At 41.7% G+C, this 17,466-nt stretch overlaps 1 protein-coding gene across 14 annotated transcripts in view, besides 2 other annotated features; it reads left to right on the forward strand.

Moving 5' to 3' along the window:
* The window catches only part of NSMCE2 (NSE2 SUMO ligase component of SMC5/6 complex), a 275,261-nt gene that overhangs the window by 194,258 nt on the left and 63,537 nt on the right, over positions 1-17,466 (forward strand). The window lies entirely within an intron of this gene.
* Positions 9,012-9,071: an enhancer, noted in NCBI's record as "active region_27909". NCBI's record gives its function as "activates an Ori minimal core promoter by ATAC-STARR-seq in GM12878 lymphoblastoid cells {active_cell/tissue: GM12878}" and the evidence as "EXISTENCE:reporter gene assay evidence [ECO:0000049][PMID:35858748]".
* Positions 14,502-15,002: an enhancer, noted in NCBI's record as "H3K4me1 hESC enhancer chr8:126312861-126313361 (GRCh37/hg19 assembly coordinates)". NCBI's record gives its function as "activates a minimal SCP1, AML or CMV promoter by ChIP-STARR-seq in naive H9 embryonic stem cells {active_cell/tissue: H9 hESC(naive)}" and the evidence as "EXISTENCE:reporter gene assay evidence [ECO:0000049][PMID:30033119]".

Raw genomic sequence — 17,466 nt, forward strand, 5'->3', positions numbered from 1 at the left:
TCTCAGGATCACAAGACTACCAGAAAATCAATAGGAATTAATCATCAGTGAAAGCCAAAGGTTTTTACTTCAATATGTATTTTCCTTTGTGTTGATATGTCTTTACAGAGATAACACCACCACCAAAAAATTATCCAATGGTCCATCTCTTCCAGATTTGCCCAATATTCAGAGACTCCAAACAATACCTTTTATTTATTTTTTTTTTTTTTTGAGATGGAGTCTCGCCCTGTCACCCAGGCTGGAGTGCAATGGTGCAGTCTCGGCTCACTGCAACCTCCGCCTCCTGGGTTCAAGTGATGCTCCTGCCTCAGCCTCCCAAGTAGCTGGGATTACAGGCGCCCACCACCATGACGGCTAATTTTTTGTATTTTTAGTAGAGATGGGGTGTTGCCATGTTGGCCAGGCTGGTCTCAAACTCCTGACCTCAAGTGATGCTCCTGCCTCGGCCTCCCAAAGTGCTGGGATTACAGGCATGAGCCACTGCGCCCGGCCCAAATAACATCTTTTATGTGCCATCATACACATACATATATTTAAATTAAGCATTATATTTTACAAGCCACTTTCATGTCCATGAACTTGCTTAAGCTTCCCTAAGCCTTGTTTATAGCATCTCTTCTCCATTTTGTAGATGAAGAAACTGAAGCCTAGAGCAAAAAAAAAAAAAAAAAAATTGCCCAAAGCCAATAGTTAATTTCCAGCAAACCTGGGACTTCAACTCAGCTCTGGTTCCTTTGCATCCTAAGAAAATCATATGTGTGTGGTGATTGTAATCCCCTGGATTGGGGGCTGTGTTTGATTGTTTATCTCTGAACTTCAGTAGACGCCAATTGGGAGGTGAACTCCCGATCTCACTGTAACGTGCCTCCTCTGTAGGGTGGTTTTACCACACATGTAAGAAGCCTTCACATTAATAAAATACAGAATTTGGCCAGGTGTGGTGGCTCACACCTGTAATCCCAGCACTTTGGGAGGCTGAGGGGGACAGATCACTTGAGGTCTGGAGTTTGAGGCCAGCCTGGCCAACATGGTGAAATCCCATCTCTACTGAAACTACAAAAATTGGCCGGGTGTGGTGGCGGGCACCTGTAGTCCCAGCTACTCGGGAGGCTGAGGCAGGAGGATCACTTGAACCTGTTAGGTAGAGGTTGCAGTGAGCTGAGATTGCCCACCTGCACTTCAGCCTGGGTGACAGAGTGAAACTCTGTCTCAAAAAATATAAAATAATAAAATCAAATACAGAATTTGCCTCCAGCTATCTGGAGTTGCTACAAGCCCAGTGCCATTGTTTCATGCCTGCTGCTACTGTTCCTTTCCACAGATGCCTATCCTTGGGACATACACTGCTTGATTGCTCTCCTGGCTAGAGATAACCAGAAGCTAAACCTTGTTAAAATAAATGACCTAAGTAAGACAACTTTCTCCTCCAGGACCTTGCCCTTTAGTTATCTCTTCTTTCTGTATCATCCATATCATTAGTCTCTGCTGGCTTTCCACTCAGGCTACAAACCCACTCAACCCTTTAAAATGAAACAGACAGAGGAGAGAGAGATTGTCCCGTGTCTAGCTAATGCCCCTTCTCTCCTTTCCCTGTCTTAAAAGAGTGTTCTGACTACCCAGGGACCACTTGTTTACTTCCATTTACTCCTTAACATTGGCAGCCCGATCTCTTCCACCATTCCAGTGAATCCTCTCTGCAGAATATCTCCAGTGACCTGCACATTGCCAGTTTTCCAATCCATATCTTCCTAAGTCTCTGTGCCATTTAAAATTTTTGACTACTCGACGCTCCCAGATACTCATTACTCCCTTGTGCGGGATCCTTCTCAACTAACTCCTGTATCTACACCTAAATATAACTTTTTAGGATTATCTCTGTTTTTCTTGTGGAGACAGGGTCTCGGTATGTTGCCCGGGCTCTTCACGAACTTCTGGCCTCAAGCGATCCTCCTGCCTCAGCCTCCCAAAGCACTGGGATTGTAGGCGTGAGCCACCATACTGGCCGATGTTTTAGGATTCTCATTCTGGGCAATTGCGCTTCTTTCTACTGACTTTTCTTTTGTCATTTCATTTATTATCACGGCTGCAGCTCCCACACTCACCTTTATGCTACTGCGTGAGCTCCCTCACCATAATCCTGTCCTTACTGCTTCTCTGACTGCTGGGACGTAACAGGAGGCCCTCAGCCTCAAGATAATTTTTTTCTTCTGATATCAGCTCTTCCTCCTGCATTCCCTCCCTCAGGTAGTGCATCATACACTGAAATAGAAAACCTAGTCATAATTAGACTAACCCCCTTCCTTCATTCCCAGCAATCACATTTCAATTATTTTGCCTCTGAGCTATTTCTGTTGATTGATTGATTGCCTATATCTCCTCAAATTCCTTTTACCAGGGATATTTCTCAAATCTGGCCTCTCTCTATGTCCTGGTCCTTTTTCCTGGCAAATCTCTGTACTTAACACTGTTCTGTGTATCTGAAACTCTTCTCTCACTTTGGTTGTTGTTACTGTTGACATTTATTCATTCTTATAGACTTATTTCAGGCCTCATTGCCCCTTTAGTTCTATGCATGTGTCTTTCTTAACACTCGAGATACTGTGTACCTGTGTTCCCCACTAGGCTAGGAGTTTTTTTTAGGACAAGTCTTTTCCCCAGTCTTTATTTTTTAAATTTATTTATTTTTATTTTTTGAGACAGGGTTTGCAGTCTCGCCCTAGCTGGAGTGCAGTGGCTCGATCTTGGCTCACTGCAGCCTCAACCTCCCAGGCTCAAACCATCCTCCCACCTCAGCTGCCCAGGTAGCCAGGATCACAGGCATGCATTACCACCATGCCCAGCTAATTTTTTGACTTTTTATAGAGATGGTCAGTGTTGACCAGGCTGGTCTCAAACTCCTGAGCTCAAGCAATCCTGCCTTAACCTCCCAAAGTGCTGGGATTTACAGGCATGTGCCACCACACTTGGCCTTTTCCCCCAGTCTTTAATTCATCTTTGTACTTCCAAGGCCTACAGCAGTACCTAAAACTTACCACATCCTCAATAAATATTTGTTGAACTGGATCATACTTACTTCCTAGAGTAATCAGAACACATGAAAAGCATTGGAAACGGGAACTTTGGAGGAAAAATATAGGCAGTTATCCAAAGTATCACTCATGCAGCTGTTGCAGGACAACTGGATGTTAACATGTAGACTCTCTTCTGCCTCCCATCTTTGCGTTTGAACATGTATTGCTAAGTGCCCCTCTCTCAGCCAATCTGTCTCTGTCTCTGCTCTCAGTCTGCCCAAGTCCTGCTTATTCTCTTGGACTCAGCTGTTGGCCCACCTCAGAATGGGTTAGAGGCCTTTCATCCATGCTGCTGTGTCTAGCAGGGTACTTATCAGAGGGCATTCTTGTTATCAAAGGGTTTCCTGTTTCCTTGTCTGTCTTCCCCAGTTAACTGTGAGCTCATTTAGAACAGAGACCAAGTCGTGCTCCTTTTACATTTTCAGTGTCTGACATGGCTCTGCTTATTAAATGTTTGATGAATAATGAAGGAATATACTTTAAAAGTAGCAGATGTTTGTGGGTGTGCTGTTACTGAAACCCCCACCTACCTCGAATTTAAAGCTTAGGTTTTCTTTCTTGAGTAGGACCTTAAAAGCCATGTATTTTAGTTTAGGTGCATTCAAATTCTGGTGTCTCCAGTTAGCAGTTGTTAATCACACTAGCTGATCAACTACTGGTCTTAAATCAAAGCATTTATTATCAAAGCCTTTTTGTTTATGAGTACAAACACACCATTGATGTTTATAAGAATAATTATTTTCTCCCCTGAATGTTAACTAGCCACAAAAGCTGGTGTACACATGTGATAGTGTTTTTCACGGAGTTTAAAGAATGTTGGTCTTTGATGTTCTGCCCTTGAATGGAAATGAGTCTGTATTACAAAATCACTAGTGAGGAAAATGGGGAACTTCTAGACAAGCACCTGAGAAGCATTATTAGAATTCCTGAGCATTAAAATCCAACAGATGCATTTTTCATGACGTTAAAAAAAACTCCACTTTCTGGTAGTAGCCCATGTCTTATGCTACGAAAATGAATGAGATTAAGTAGAATATGTTAAAATCATATTAAGTAGAAATGTCTTAGTCAAAACGTGACTGAAAGGAAAAGACACTAATACAAGGTAGCGGTAGCAAAAAAAAATTAATAAATAGAAAAAATTTTAAATAAGCTGTAAGGAAAAAGGGGTGTCTCATGGGAAAAGGGACTAGGAACAAGAATCTAAAAGGAGGCCCTTTTGGTCTTTCTCAGACCATAAAATCTCTCATCTCTACTTCTTTGCATGACTTGCATTTTTTTTTTCTTTCTCTCAGCCTGGCTTGCTCAGTTTGCCTGACCACCTGGCAGAAGGTAGCTACCTCATAGCATTCTAGGTTATGTATCCTCTTTCAGTTCAACTAAAGAGCCCAGACAGAATTAGAATCTCTCAGTTACAATTCCAGTCTCACAGAAAAGTTGGTTGAGGCAACATAGGTAGGTCACAAGTCCAGTGTGGTCCAGGCAACTGTGATCAAGGAGACAGAGCCACATGACACAAATATGGTTGCCATGGCACATGTCTGAATGCAAAGAGACAGTTCTCAGACAGGATGGGCTATCATGAGTTAGACAGACAACTCCTACCACCACCAAAAACCCAAGGAAGCATAAAGTAAAAAGGATAATGTAGTAGCACTATCTCAGTATAAATTATTTATAGATTTATTGTCTTTTTCCTCCACCAAATTATGTGTACCATGAGGTCAGGCACCATAATTATGTTTAATTCTCTAGTACCTAGCAGTGCCCGACAATAGGCATTCAGTAAATATTCAGTAAATATTGGATGAACAGAAACTAAGGTAAGCTCTGCCTTCATGGGAATTATAGTCTGGTCATGAAAGCAGGCAGAAAACAAGCAAATAAAAAGATGTAATTGTGGTAAATATTAAGAAAGTTAAAAGGGGGAGAGGGGTAAAGGAAGGGTTACCAAACTACAGCAGAAACTTTCAGAGGTAGGTGATGGTGTTAAAACCCAAAGTAGCTGTACTAACTTTGCTTATTCATCCGAAGAGACTGGAGGTGGTAATCATAAAAGATTCCGTTTACATTTTGTTCCATTCATCATTTTAACACATAAAAAACTAGTTTACATTAGAGCATGGGTTGCTAAAAGGTTGCTGTAAAGAACTATATAAAATTTTAATAAATTTAATTAATGTTTGCTGATATCTTTTCATTTTTATCTTCCATTTTTAAATTGGTAAACTCTTAGCCTGGAGCTCGATGTAATTATATAACAGTTCTATGAGCTGGTCAATGATTAATCAAGTGCACAATAGGAGATATACATTGGCCAACTCTGCAAGCAGATTTGGATTAAGATTACAAATCACACAATGGGAAAGACATGTTCTCCAAAGGAGAATCAGGCAGGATCAGATGATACACCGGGATGTGTTTTCAGTGTGATGGAAAGATTGTTTCCAGTGATCTTAGTGATGGTAAAGATAGAGGAGAAGACACCTAAGAAATGTGTTTTTCTGGAGTTATATTAGTATTTTTGTTGCCAGTATCTAATAGTGTTTCCAGAACTATTCTGGAAGCAAGCCAGATCTCGTAAACAATAATTAACAGAGCTTTTTACCTAGCTTTATTCATTAGAGTAACTAACAGGAGTTTCTATATAAACAACTCCAAAACCCTAGTGGCTTATTAAACTGTAGATTTTTTTCCTATATAAAGTTCAGTGCAGATAAAGGGGGTGTTTGTTCCATAAATTTATTCAGGGACCCAGGCTCTTTCCATCTTGTGGTTCTGTCCTCCCGCACTCAATTCATTCAAGCTGGTCCATGGGGAAAGAATGAGATTGGGCCAGGACTACACCAGGAAGTGCACATCACTTCCACTCTCATTTCATTAGCCAGGATTGAGTCACAAGTACCACACCTACCTACAAGGAGGGCTGGACAAAGGTATAGTTGGGGACTCAGGAAGAAGAGAGTATTAGTGACTGTTCTCAGTGTCTGCCACACTAGCAATATGTAGATTCAAGAAGCTATGGGAGGAAAAAAAAAAAAGGAGAAGAAGAAGAAAAAAGAAGAAGAAGCTGTGGGAGGCCAGGGGGAGCAGTGGCTCACACCTGTAATCCCAGCACTTTGGGAAGCCAAGGTGGGTGGATCACTTGAGGTCAGGAGTTCAAGACCAGCCTGGCCAACATGGTGAAACCCCATCTCTACTAAAAACACAAAATTAGTTGGGTGTGGTAGCACATGCTTGTAATCCCAGCCACTTGGGAGGCTAAGGCAGGAGAGTCACTTGAACCTAGGAGGCGGAGATTGCAGTGAGCTGAGATCACGCCATTGCACTCCAGCCTGGGCAACAGAGCAAGACTCCATCTCAAAAAAAAAAAGAACCTATGGGAAACATGAAAAAGAAAATATTGTAGAAAAGCCCTTTGTATCTTCAAAAGAATTTTGTTGCCAAAATTTGAGATCATTTCAGATAAGTTATCTCTCCAAAAGCTTCTTACCACCTGTAGTGCTGTTGGCTTCTACAAACCACATGTGATTCCCTGGTTCTGTCAGTGCTGGAAAATTCAGAAGAAAAATAAGAGCAAATCGATTCTGAAAAGTAGTTATTTAATCAGAATGGGGGTAGTGTGTGCTTTCCCTTCCAAAGCACAACTATGAGTTGCCCATCAAAGCTTATAATCATCTCCTCTAGGAGTGTTCCTCAACATGAACGAGTTTCAAATGTTGGCAGGTCATACTTGTTGAAGACCCCCTGTAGTCTGGAGCAGTATTTCCCAACTAAGAATTTAGGAAAGAGTCTAATTCCATAATTTTACTTAAATCTGTCCCAGGGGGCCTGGTTTAGGTCTGATACCATATGCTCTTGTCCATGATGACAGTAGCTGTGCCCCAGCTCTGTTTCAGGGATTCTGCAAATTTAATTATACAACAATAATAGCTTACACTGTTGAGCACTTACTATATTCTGGGTACCATTCTAAGAATGCTATTACTATTATACTCATGTCCGGGAAATAGGATGCTGCCCCACCTTGCACTCTCAGGGATCTTGTCCATTAATCCACACTGGAAGTTACCCCTGCCCAGGAAGTTTATCAAGGGAGATACAAACTTGGCAGTTTAAGAGGGTGGTTCTTATTGTTATAACCAGGACTGACGAAAATTTGAAGGACATAATTGTATTTTTAGATACCTCAGATTTAGTTTGGCAAATGGCTGTTGTGGTGCTGACCAGCTTTCCCCATATAGAGCTAATTATTCTTTGTTTATTTTTATTTACTGACTCCAGTGGGTTAATTTTGAAATTTATTTGAACTTCGTTCAATAAATGATCACTGAGCATCCACTCTGTGGAAAGCTCCATGCTAATTATTGTAGGGAACACAAACAGGAGGAAGGTTTAGTCATCAAGCATACTGATGAGTAGAGGTAACAGGATTACCCTAAACATTATGAGGTTGCTGAGACTTTTGAAGACCATCCTGTAGGTCTTGAACCTTTAGCTGATGGGTTAAACACTGAATGCTGTGAGAGATGATGGCTTTGGAGTCCCAAGTTAGACAGTTATATCTCCTACTATCTGATGTGCTAATATTCTTCTTTATAACAGTTTTATTAAGATGTAATATACATACCATACAACTCACCTACTTAAAGTGTGCAGTAGACTGGGTTTTGTTTTTGTATATTCACAGAGCTAGGCAGCCATCACCACAATCAATTTTAGAACATTTTCAAAAAGAAATCCTGTATAATCCTGTATCTGTTAGCATTTACTTCCTATTTTCTCCCAAGTTCCCCAGCTCTAGGCAACCACTAAATCTACTTTCTATCTCTATTTGCTGTTTGGGACGTTTCATATAAACATGCATATGTGGTCTTTTGTGACTGGATTCTTTCACTTGGCATAATGTTTTCAAGGTTTATCCATGTTGTAGCATGTATCACTATTTCATTCCTTTCTAGTGCTGAGTAACATTTCATTATATGCATATACCACATTTTATATATCATTCTTCAGTTGATGGTCATCTGGGTTCTTTCTGTCTTTTGGCTATTATGGATAGTGCTGCTGTGAACATTTGTGTACAGTGGACATTTGTTTTTATTTCCATTTCTCGTGGTATTTATCTCACAGTGTAATTGCTGGGTCATATGGTGACTCTATGTTTATCCTTTTTAGGAACTGCCAGACTTTTCCAAAAGGACTGCGCCATTTTACATTCCCACCAGCATTGTATGAGGGTTCCAATTGCTCCGCGTCCTCACCAGCACATGTTATTGTCTCTTTTTTATTGTAGACATCCTAGTGGGCATGAAGTGGTATTTCATTATTTTGATTTGCATTTCCCTGATGGATTAATATTGTAATATTTATTTTACCAATCTAGGGCTAAACTTGCGATCGTATACTTTCTTATGCACGTAATAGAAACTGTCTCATATTACTGGATTGACTTTCTAAAACAAAACCATAGTTCTTTACAAGATGAATGTCATTTATGGGGTTAGAATTATACGTGAAAAAACATAAAGTAAAATGACATGGAGTTAAGATTACACACTCATCTGGGAAATTTGTTTTGCGCTATGAATTCATTCACAGTGTTCCGAGGCCTTTATCTGAGCTACTCAAGTACTACTATGTGACATTTACTGGATAATCCAGACAGCACTTTGGTTAAATCCACAGTGTGATGTCACCCAGTAAACACTTGAAAATGGAGATGTGTGTCTCTTCTGGTTTTATCAGTCAAGATTAGTGGTGGTTCACAGCACAGTGAACTTTTTCTCCTCTGTGATCCATCAGTCTGTGTCTCATTGTGGGCCAATAATCTGTCACCTGAAACTACTTAAAATAGGTTGGACTTTCTTGAATGTCGTGTTGCTGTGATGACATAGGGTTTTGGCTGCAGAAAGGAAAGAACCTTTTTATAACTTTTGTTTGCCTCTGTATCCCTTGTTTCCAGTAAAAGCACTGTGATTTTTAGCCCCTTGCTTATATATGTAGACTATTTTCTAAACCAGTTTTTCATCCATCTCTTTACCTTCTGGGGCCCCTAATCTGGTGACCTTTGTGTTTCTGTCAAAGAAAGAAAATGACACAGGGCTTGGAAGGTGACAGAGTTTCACCATCTTGGTTTGACCAACTAGCAGACAGGTAAAAACAGCATCCAAAAGGGCCATTTGATAATAAAATTAAAAAATTAAAAGTTGAAGAGAATTCAGAGGATGCTTTCTTCAGAGAAGTGCTTAGGATTTCTCAGAAATCTCCCCAGAAAAGAGGCCTTAACAGTAGAGTGATCATCCTTTCTGACCCCCTGAGAGAATAACACACAGGTCGGAATTCTCTTCATTGGGCTGCACACCCCTGTCTCTGCTTAGTACAGCTTTGGGAAGTTCTGAGAGGGACAAAGGGGGTAAAGAACTGAGAGTGGATCATTAACCCTTCATAATACATCATCCCATGTTCTGCCTCATTGGTTCCTTAATTTTTAGTGTGTGATTGTGTGGCTCGGTTGGGGAATAGTTGGAAGGAATAGTTGGAGCTTGAATTTTGTCTCCTCCAAAGTAAAAGGAAGCAACAGCTTTATACATTTATAGAGCTGGATTTCTTTCTTTGTTTTTTAAGCTCTAATGAATTCTGTTTTGAGCATTCTATTGACTAAAATATTATTTTGGATGAAACTGAAGCATATCATGACCCAATAATAACCGTTGCCCCTACTGAAGATCTTAAACTACTGCATAATCCTGAACCATGTGCCTTCACAACTATTAAACAAGAAATAACTAATATTTATTAAAGTATGAGTAGGAATTACAGCTTACAGCTTAGATTCTGATCTTTGCACTGATTAGCTCTTGATTAATTAAAAAAAATAGCTAGCACTTATTAAACATTTACTACACGCTAGGCATTATAATAGCCTTGCATAGATTATCTCATTTAATACTTTCCATGGCCCTATGAACTAGGTACTGTTATTTTCTTCTTTTTACAAACTGAGGTAAATTTAGTGTTGTCATGTGCAGTTTGCACCCTTAACTCCCAACACTCACTTCTGCTGGGTACATGACATATTGAATGAATACTATGTTTGTAAGAGAGAGAGAATATGCATGAATGAATGAGAGAGAGCATACCCAAACAGGGAAGCAAACTGATGGATTTGGCTGTAGTCAAATTGTTGTTGCCATGGTCATTTTTTTTTTTTTTTTTTTTGAAACGGAGTCTTGCTCTGTCACCCAGGCTGGAGTGCAGTGGTGCAATCTCAGCTCACTGCGACCTCCAACTCCCAGGTTCAAGTGATTCTCCTGCCTCAGCCTCCCTAGTAGCTGGGATTACAGGCATGCACCACCATGCCAGGCTAATTTTTTTGTATTTTTAATAGAGATGGGGTTTCACACGTTGGCCAGGCTGGTCTCAAACTCCTGACCTCAAGTGATCCACCCACCTTGGCCTCCCAAAGTGCTGGGATTACAGATGTGAGTCACCGCACCCGGCCTGCTGTGGTAATTTTTAAGAAAGCTTTTAACATTTCCTTTTCCTCCTTCGTATTGTTGCTTACAAACATAAGACAATAACTGCTGAGGAGAAGCAAACTCAAGGCTGGGCATTCCTGCAGGAAAATGGCCAAGGTGTACTTTCGTGGAATAAAAATGAATCAGAGAATTTGCTAATTTTTTTCTCTTAAGAAATTAGAATAAAAAACAACAGTGCTTATACTGATTTTTCTTTAAGAAATCGAATACCTCTGATTACTTATTTTGCATAGAAAATATAGAGTATACTTAGAAATTCAGGAAGTATTTTCTTTCTCATTGCAAACATTAAGTTATTCTTAGTCACTTATTCAATTAAATTGTTACAATCACTTCACTGGGCCATTTTACTGTGAGATATCCTAAAATCAATGAATTCGTAACATCTCTGTCATAATCACACACCCATTTTTAACAACCTGTATTTCATATTTTCATGCTTTTTAGTCAAGGTAAATGTCTGAATATAATGTAACTAAAGCTACATTCCTATAAAAATGCCTGGCCAAAAGGTAGCTCTTCAAGCCAGCAGTCATCTCCAGGATAATACATTGAATCTGTAGAGCTTATTTTACCCAGTTTTTCCCCTCCCCTGCAAAGGCAATTCTTTAATCTGCTCTACAAAGTCTCTACCTACTAAGAAGTCATCTTTGGTTGAGGGACCTCCTGGGACAGGCAGCTCATTCCATTTTCAAATAGTTCTAAATGGGGGAAATGGTTTCCTTTGTTCAGCCAAATGTTGTCTTCTTTAAGGCCTGCTTCTCCACATTAGCTCTTCCTTCTGGAATGAGACACAGTAAAAACTAGGGTGAAATCTCTTAATTAACAAACACTTAGGCTGTAATCCCAGTACTTTGGAAGGACCAGACAGAAAGATCAGTTAAAGCCAGCAGTTCGAGACCAGCCTAGGCAACAAAGTGAGACCTTGTCTCTAGAAAAAAAAAAAAAAAATTAAAGCCAGGCATAATAGCGTGCGCCTGTAGTCATAGCTAGTTGGGAGGCTGAGGTAGAAGGATCACTTGAGCCCAGGAGTTTGAGGCTACAGTGAGCTATGATTGTGCCACTGCACTCCAGCCCATCAACAGAGTGAGACTCTGTCTCAAAAAAAAAATTATTGATTACTTTTACAATATGCAAAGCAATTATGAAATGTATCAGAAAATGAATACATACACTTCATAATATTAATGTGGACAAATAAACACGGATGTTGAAGTCACATGATAGCAAAAATAATGCTGACTGGGCCAGGCACAGTGGTGCAATGCCTGTAATCCCAGCACATTGGGAGGCTTAGGCAGGTGGACCACCTGAGATCAGAAGTTCAAGACCAGCCTGGCCAACATGGTGAAACCCCGTCTCTACTAAAAATAAAAAATTTGCCTGGTGTGGTGGTACACACCTGTAGTCCCAGCTACTAGGGAGGCTGAGGCCAGAGGATCGCTTGAACCTAGAAGGCAGAGGTTGCAGTGAGCTGAGATTGTGCCACTGCACTCCAGCCTGGGTGACAGTGAAAGTCCATCTCAAAAAATAAATAAATAAAATAGTGCTGACTACATGCCAGGCACTGTTGCAAGTACTTTGTTTAAGTTAACTCATTGATCCTGACCACAGCCCTTTGAGGCATGTACTACAAAAATCCCCATTTTGCAGATGTGGAAACTGAGACACAGTTAAGACACTTGCCCAAAGTCACCCAGCCAGTAAACGTGAGATCCAGCGTTTGCAGTCAAGCAGATTGCCTGGTCCCTTAGCTCTGCGGACCCAGAGCCAGATCTTCCAGTGCTGATGCTGCGCCTCATTAGCAGGATAATGCGGGAAATTTACTTAAACCATCTCCACTTTTGTTTCCTTATCTGTAAAAACAGGCAGAGTTGTTATAGTAATTAAATGGAATACCATTGAACGTGACCAGTGGTTCTTAACAGGGATTGCATATCAAATTCATCTGTGGGTTTTTTTTTGTTTTTTTTTTTTTTTCCCCAGTTTAGGTCTTACCAGGAACTTCTGATTCATTTAAATACTATGTGGTTTGTTGTCACCAGTTTGAGACTCATGTCAACATTGGTTCAGAATAAGCAGGGTGATGGGTGACTTTTTAAATTAATCCTCTTAATAACTGCAAAACTCAGGACAGTGTTAGTATTGATGGGATTAAGTTTGGGGTGATATTAAAATCTGATTTCAAAGTCCCATAGTAGTTGTTCCTCCGATCCTTAAAATGAACTTCCTTGCCCCCATTTATTGCTGAAACATTTTTCTGCATGCATACCCAAGGTAGCACATTTCAGGAATAGTTGATGCTAGTAAAAAATAATGTTCTGTTATTTTCTTCTGTATTTGATAACTCCTTTACTGTGACCCAGTGAACCATTCTGAAAGTAAACCTTTGAAGTATTTTTATAGCATCACCTACACATAATTTGTATTTTTAAATCTGTATATAGTGAAATGCATGAGGTTATCAATAGTCTAGTTGATACAGGATTCTCATCACCAAGTATATTGGCTGAATCAAGAGGAGATTCTTTGTCAGTGTGCTCCGTTTTTAAAAAGAAAGGAGCACTCTATTCGTTTCTTTTCACACTGCTATAAAGAATGAACTGAGACTGGGTAATTTATACAGAAAAGAGGCTGGGGAGGCCTCAGGAAACTTAAAATCATAGCAGAAGGTAAAGAGCAAGCAAGGAATGTCTTACATGGCAACAGGAGAGAGAGCGAGCAAGAGGCGAGAACTGCCACACACTTTTAAACCATCAGATCTCAAGAGAACTCACTCACTATGATAGGAACAGCATGGGGGAAACAGCCCCCATGACCCAGTTACCTCCCACCAGGTCCCTCCCTCAACATGTGGGGACTACAATTTGAGATGAGATTTGGGTGGGGACACAAAGCCAAACCATATTAAGCACCCCTAAGGAAAATGTAACAACCCCTTTAATGCATTTATTTATTGGGAGGTTGGCAATTCATTTCACTGAGAATAACCAAAGAACTTTTGGCTTATGGAAAGAGAATGCCATGTAGTTTGAAGACTATTATTACCTTGACCTCATAATTTTGGCTTTCTTTTTTTTTTTTTTTTTTTTTTTTTTTGTCTTGAGACAGAGTCTCACTCTGTCACTCAGGCTGGAGTGCAGTGGCAGAATCTCGGCTCGCTGCAGCCTCCACCTCCCTGGTTGAAGTGATTCTCTTGCCTCAGCCTCCCAAGTAGTTGGGACTACAGGTGCACGCCATCATGCTTGGCTAATTTTTGTATTTTTAGTAGAGACAGGGTTTCAACATGTTGGCCAGGCTGGTCTCAAACTTCTGACCTCAGGTGATTCATCTGCCTTGGCCTCCCAAAATGCTGGGATTACAGGCATGAGCCACTACACCTGGACAATTTTCGGCTTTCTTGTACTGGAAGTGGGTCACTTCAAGGGCTGTGCCTCTTTTTTTTTTTTTATTTTGAGACAAGTCTAGCTTGGTCGCCCAGGCTAGAGTGCAGTAGTGCCATCATGGCTCACTGCAGTCTTGACCTCCCAGGCTCAATTGATTCTCACACCTCCACCTCACCTCCACCTCCTGAGTACCTGGGACTATACCTGGCTAATTTTTTTGTTTTAGTAGAGACAGGGTTTCACCATGTTGCCCAGGCTGGTCTCGAACTCCTGAACTCAAGTGATCCTCTTGCTTCAGCCTCCCAAAGTGCAGGGATTACAGACATGAGCCATCACACCTGGCCCTGGCTATGCCATTTAGACCTCGTTCTAAGCCATATCAAATGTGACAAGGCAAATTCAGAGATTAAAAAGTTATGGTATCTCAGTAAGTTGGCACTGTTCCATTCAACAGTCATTTATTGAGCATCTCTTATTCGCTATGCCATGGGGTACAAAGATGCGAAGAACATCGTCCCTGCACTGAAGTTTACAGTCTGTGGGCAGTGGAGTAGGAACAGGTGGTCTCAATAAAGTTCAGCAAGTGTATTATGGTGGAGGAGGTACAAGGTGCTTTGAGAGTAGAAAGGAAGGTGGCCTGATGTAGCCTGGGGAGAGAGGAAGAAAGACAGGAAGGGGCTGGTCTGCAAAGGCTTTCTGGGGACAGGAGTACTGAGATGAATGTTAAAAGATGGATTAATGCTAGCAGAGTGAAGAATGGATGGAAGAACATTCCACCTGGGCTCTGTAGCCCGCTGAGCAGTCTTGAATCATCCTACCTAACCAGTGGTCATCTCAGTTCCAAATAGTGTCCTGTCTGACTCACTGACGTTCCATCCTATCATTATTTGACTGCTCAGTTATTTCTGTGTCACAATCATTAACTATTTTTGTGAAGTATGGCTTCAAAGAGAAAACAAAAAAAACTTTGAGCCATGCCTTTTTGTCCCTGAAATGAACAATCTATGTGACCCATTTAGCCTGACCTCCATCATAACTTGAGCAGGATTGGCTGGGGAATGTGCTAGAACCCCAGCAGCACAGGCTGGTGGGAAAGGGGGCCTGAGGAAAATCACCTGCCTGTACAGTCGGCATCCAGAAGGGGTTGAAAAACCAGCAAAAGTGGGACAGCAAACAGCGTCCCAAGTAGTCATCTAACCCGAGGTTTCCCTGGCCAAAGGTAATAGAATGCAGTGGCTCATGGTATCCAGCATCTGTCACATACTGGCTTTGTGACCTTTGCAAATTCACCTCTCAGTGCTTGGTCTTCTCTAAAATAAGTAATAATAATCGTACCTCACTACATGGAGGTGGCGGTGGGGTGGTGGTGAGGATTAAGTGAACTTATTCACCGAAAGTACTTGGAAGACTTTCTTGTTAGTTGTTAGGAGACAGCGTCCCAGTTCCTTCAGAAGGGGACCCAGGCACGGTGTCAGGACCTCTGCAGTTAGTGAGCTCCCATTCTCCACAAGACATGAGTTTTCCATACAAGCCATTTTTTTTTTTTTTTTTTTTGAGACAGAGTCTCCCTCTGTCACCTAGGCTGGAGGGCTGGAGTGCAATGGCACAGTCTCGGCTCACTACAACCTCCGCTTACTGGGTTCAAGCAATTCTCCTGCCGCAGCCTCCCGAGTAGCTGGGATTATAGGCACCAACCAACCATGCCCGGCTAATTTTTGTAGTTTTAGTAGAGACAGGGTTTCGCCGTGTTGGCCAGACTGGTCTCGAACTCCTGACCTCAGGTGATCCACCAGCCTTAGCCTTCCAAATGCTGGAATTACAGGCATGAGCCACCGCACCTGCCCCAATTTTTTTTTTTTGAGACCGAGTCTCACTCTCTTGCCCAAGCTGGAGTGCAGTGGCACAATCTCAGCTCACTCAAATTCTGCCTCCCAGGATCATGTGATTGTCATGCCTCAGCCTCCCAGAGCTGGGATTACAGGTGCGTGGTACCACACCCAGCTAATTTTTGTATTTTTAGTAGAAATGGGGTTTTGCCATGTTGGCCAGGCTGGTCTTGAACTCCTGGCCTCAAGTCATCTGCCCGCCTCGGCCTCCCAAAATGCTGGGATTACAGGCATGAGCCACCACGCCAGGTCCCAATTTCTTTTTTAACACATATTTATTGGATGTCTCCTATGTGCTAGGCACTGTTAAAAGCATTGGGGATAAATCAGAGGAATCAGTCCTTGCAAAGGCCCTGGTGTGGGAGTTGGCCTGGCACACATTCCAGGAGTGACAAGGAGGTTCCCATGGAATGAGTGAGGGAAAGGAAAGTAGGAGATGAGATCAGAGAGCTAACAAGGGGTGGATGACACAGGGCTTCCCAGGCCATTGAAGGACTTTGGCTTTTACTTAGAGGTTAATATGGGGTGAGAATTGAGAGAAGAATGATAACTACTGCTGATTATTGAGCTTATAGAAGATAGCTGGCACTGTGCTAAGTGCTTGACCTGTGTTATACTTCTTAATCAGATAGAACAAGAAGATTAGAACAATGATATAAAGCAAATGGCCTGTCCCGAGAAAGGACCCTGAGACAGAGGGGTTGGGGAGCGTGCAGGGGCAGTATTCAAACCCAGATCTGAGTGATTTCATGATGTCATACTGTCATTTAATGAATATAGACATGTGTTTGCCATCACATTGCTGTAGCAAGACTAATCTTAGCCTCCACTTGACCACTCTGCAAGACCACTGCTCAGGAACTGGATAGGAAGTTGGTGCCTGTGCCTCCAAACAACTCTGGGAATCCGGGACAAAGAATCTGAGCACACATCATGCACCACACACACATTTTCCCCAGGGCACGGAGCAGGGTAACGCAGTGTCCATGCTGCAGCTCCACACTCCCCGCATCTTCTGTTTCGCAAGCGGAGAGTCCTCACTCTTGCCATATTTAAAGACTCAGTGTTTCTGAGTGCCTTTTAAGGGCAGGGTAGAATCAAAGGCCAAAATACCAAAGGTTCAGTTTCCTGTTACTGACCACAGTAGACCAGAAAATGAGGCAGCTTTCAGAGTAGCTGCCTCCCTCTGTGAACCTGCAGTTCAGCTTTGACTCAGGAGAGCCTGTGGGAACTGTCAGACTCCTTAGTCTGCAAGATGTTGTTCTCAACTGAATGGACACACCCTAAGTCAAGTTGTGTATTCGAGACCAAACTGCAGTGCAGAACATGAAGAACAGACAGAATTCTTTGGAATTCTGATTCATTTGCAGGACCAAATAAGGACCTACCCAATGATCATCTTAACTCATGCTGCACGAATTTGAAGTTTGTGATGAGTATTGAAGGAACTAAACTATAAAATAAAAGGTCAGGGGTATCCATTTTTTCCAATAAGTATATAAATTAACTGCTTATTTTGTGCGAAGTATAATACTGGGTGCCAAGAACGTCAAAATAAGTGGCTTCTGCACCCCCTCTC

Source organism: Homo sapiens, chromosome 8 (genome assembly GCF_000001405.40).
Source record: "Homo sapiens chromosome 8, GRCh38.p14 Primary Assembly".
Taxonomy (NCBI): Eukaryota; Metazoa; Chordata; class Mammalia; order Primates; family Hominidae; genus Homo; species Homo sapiens.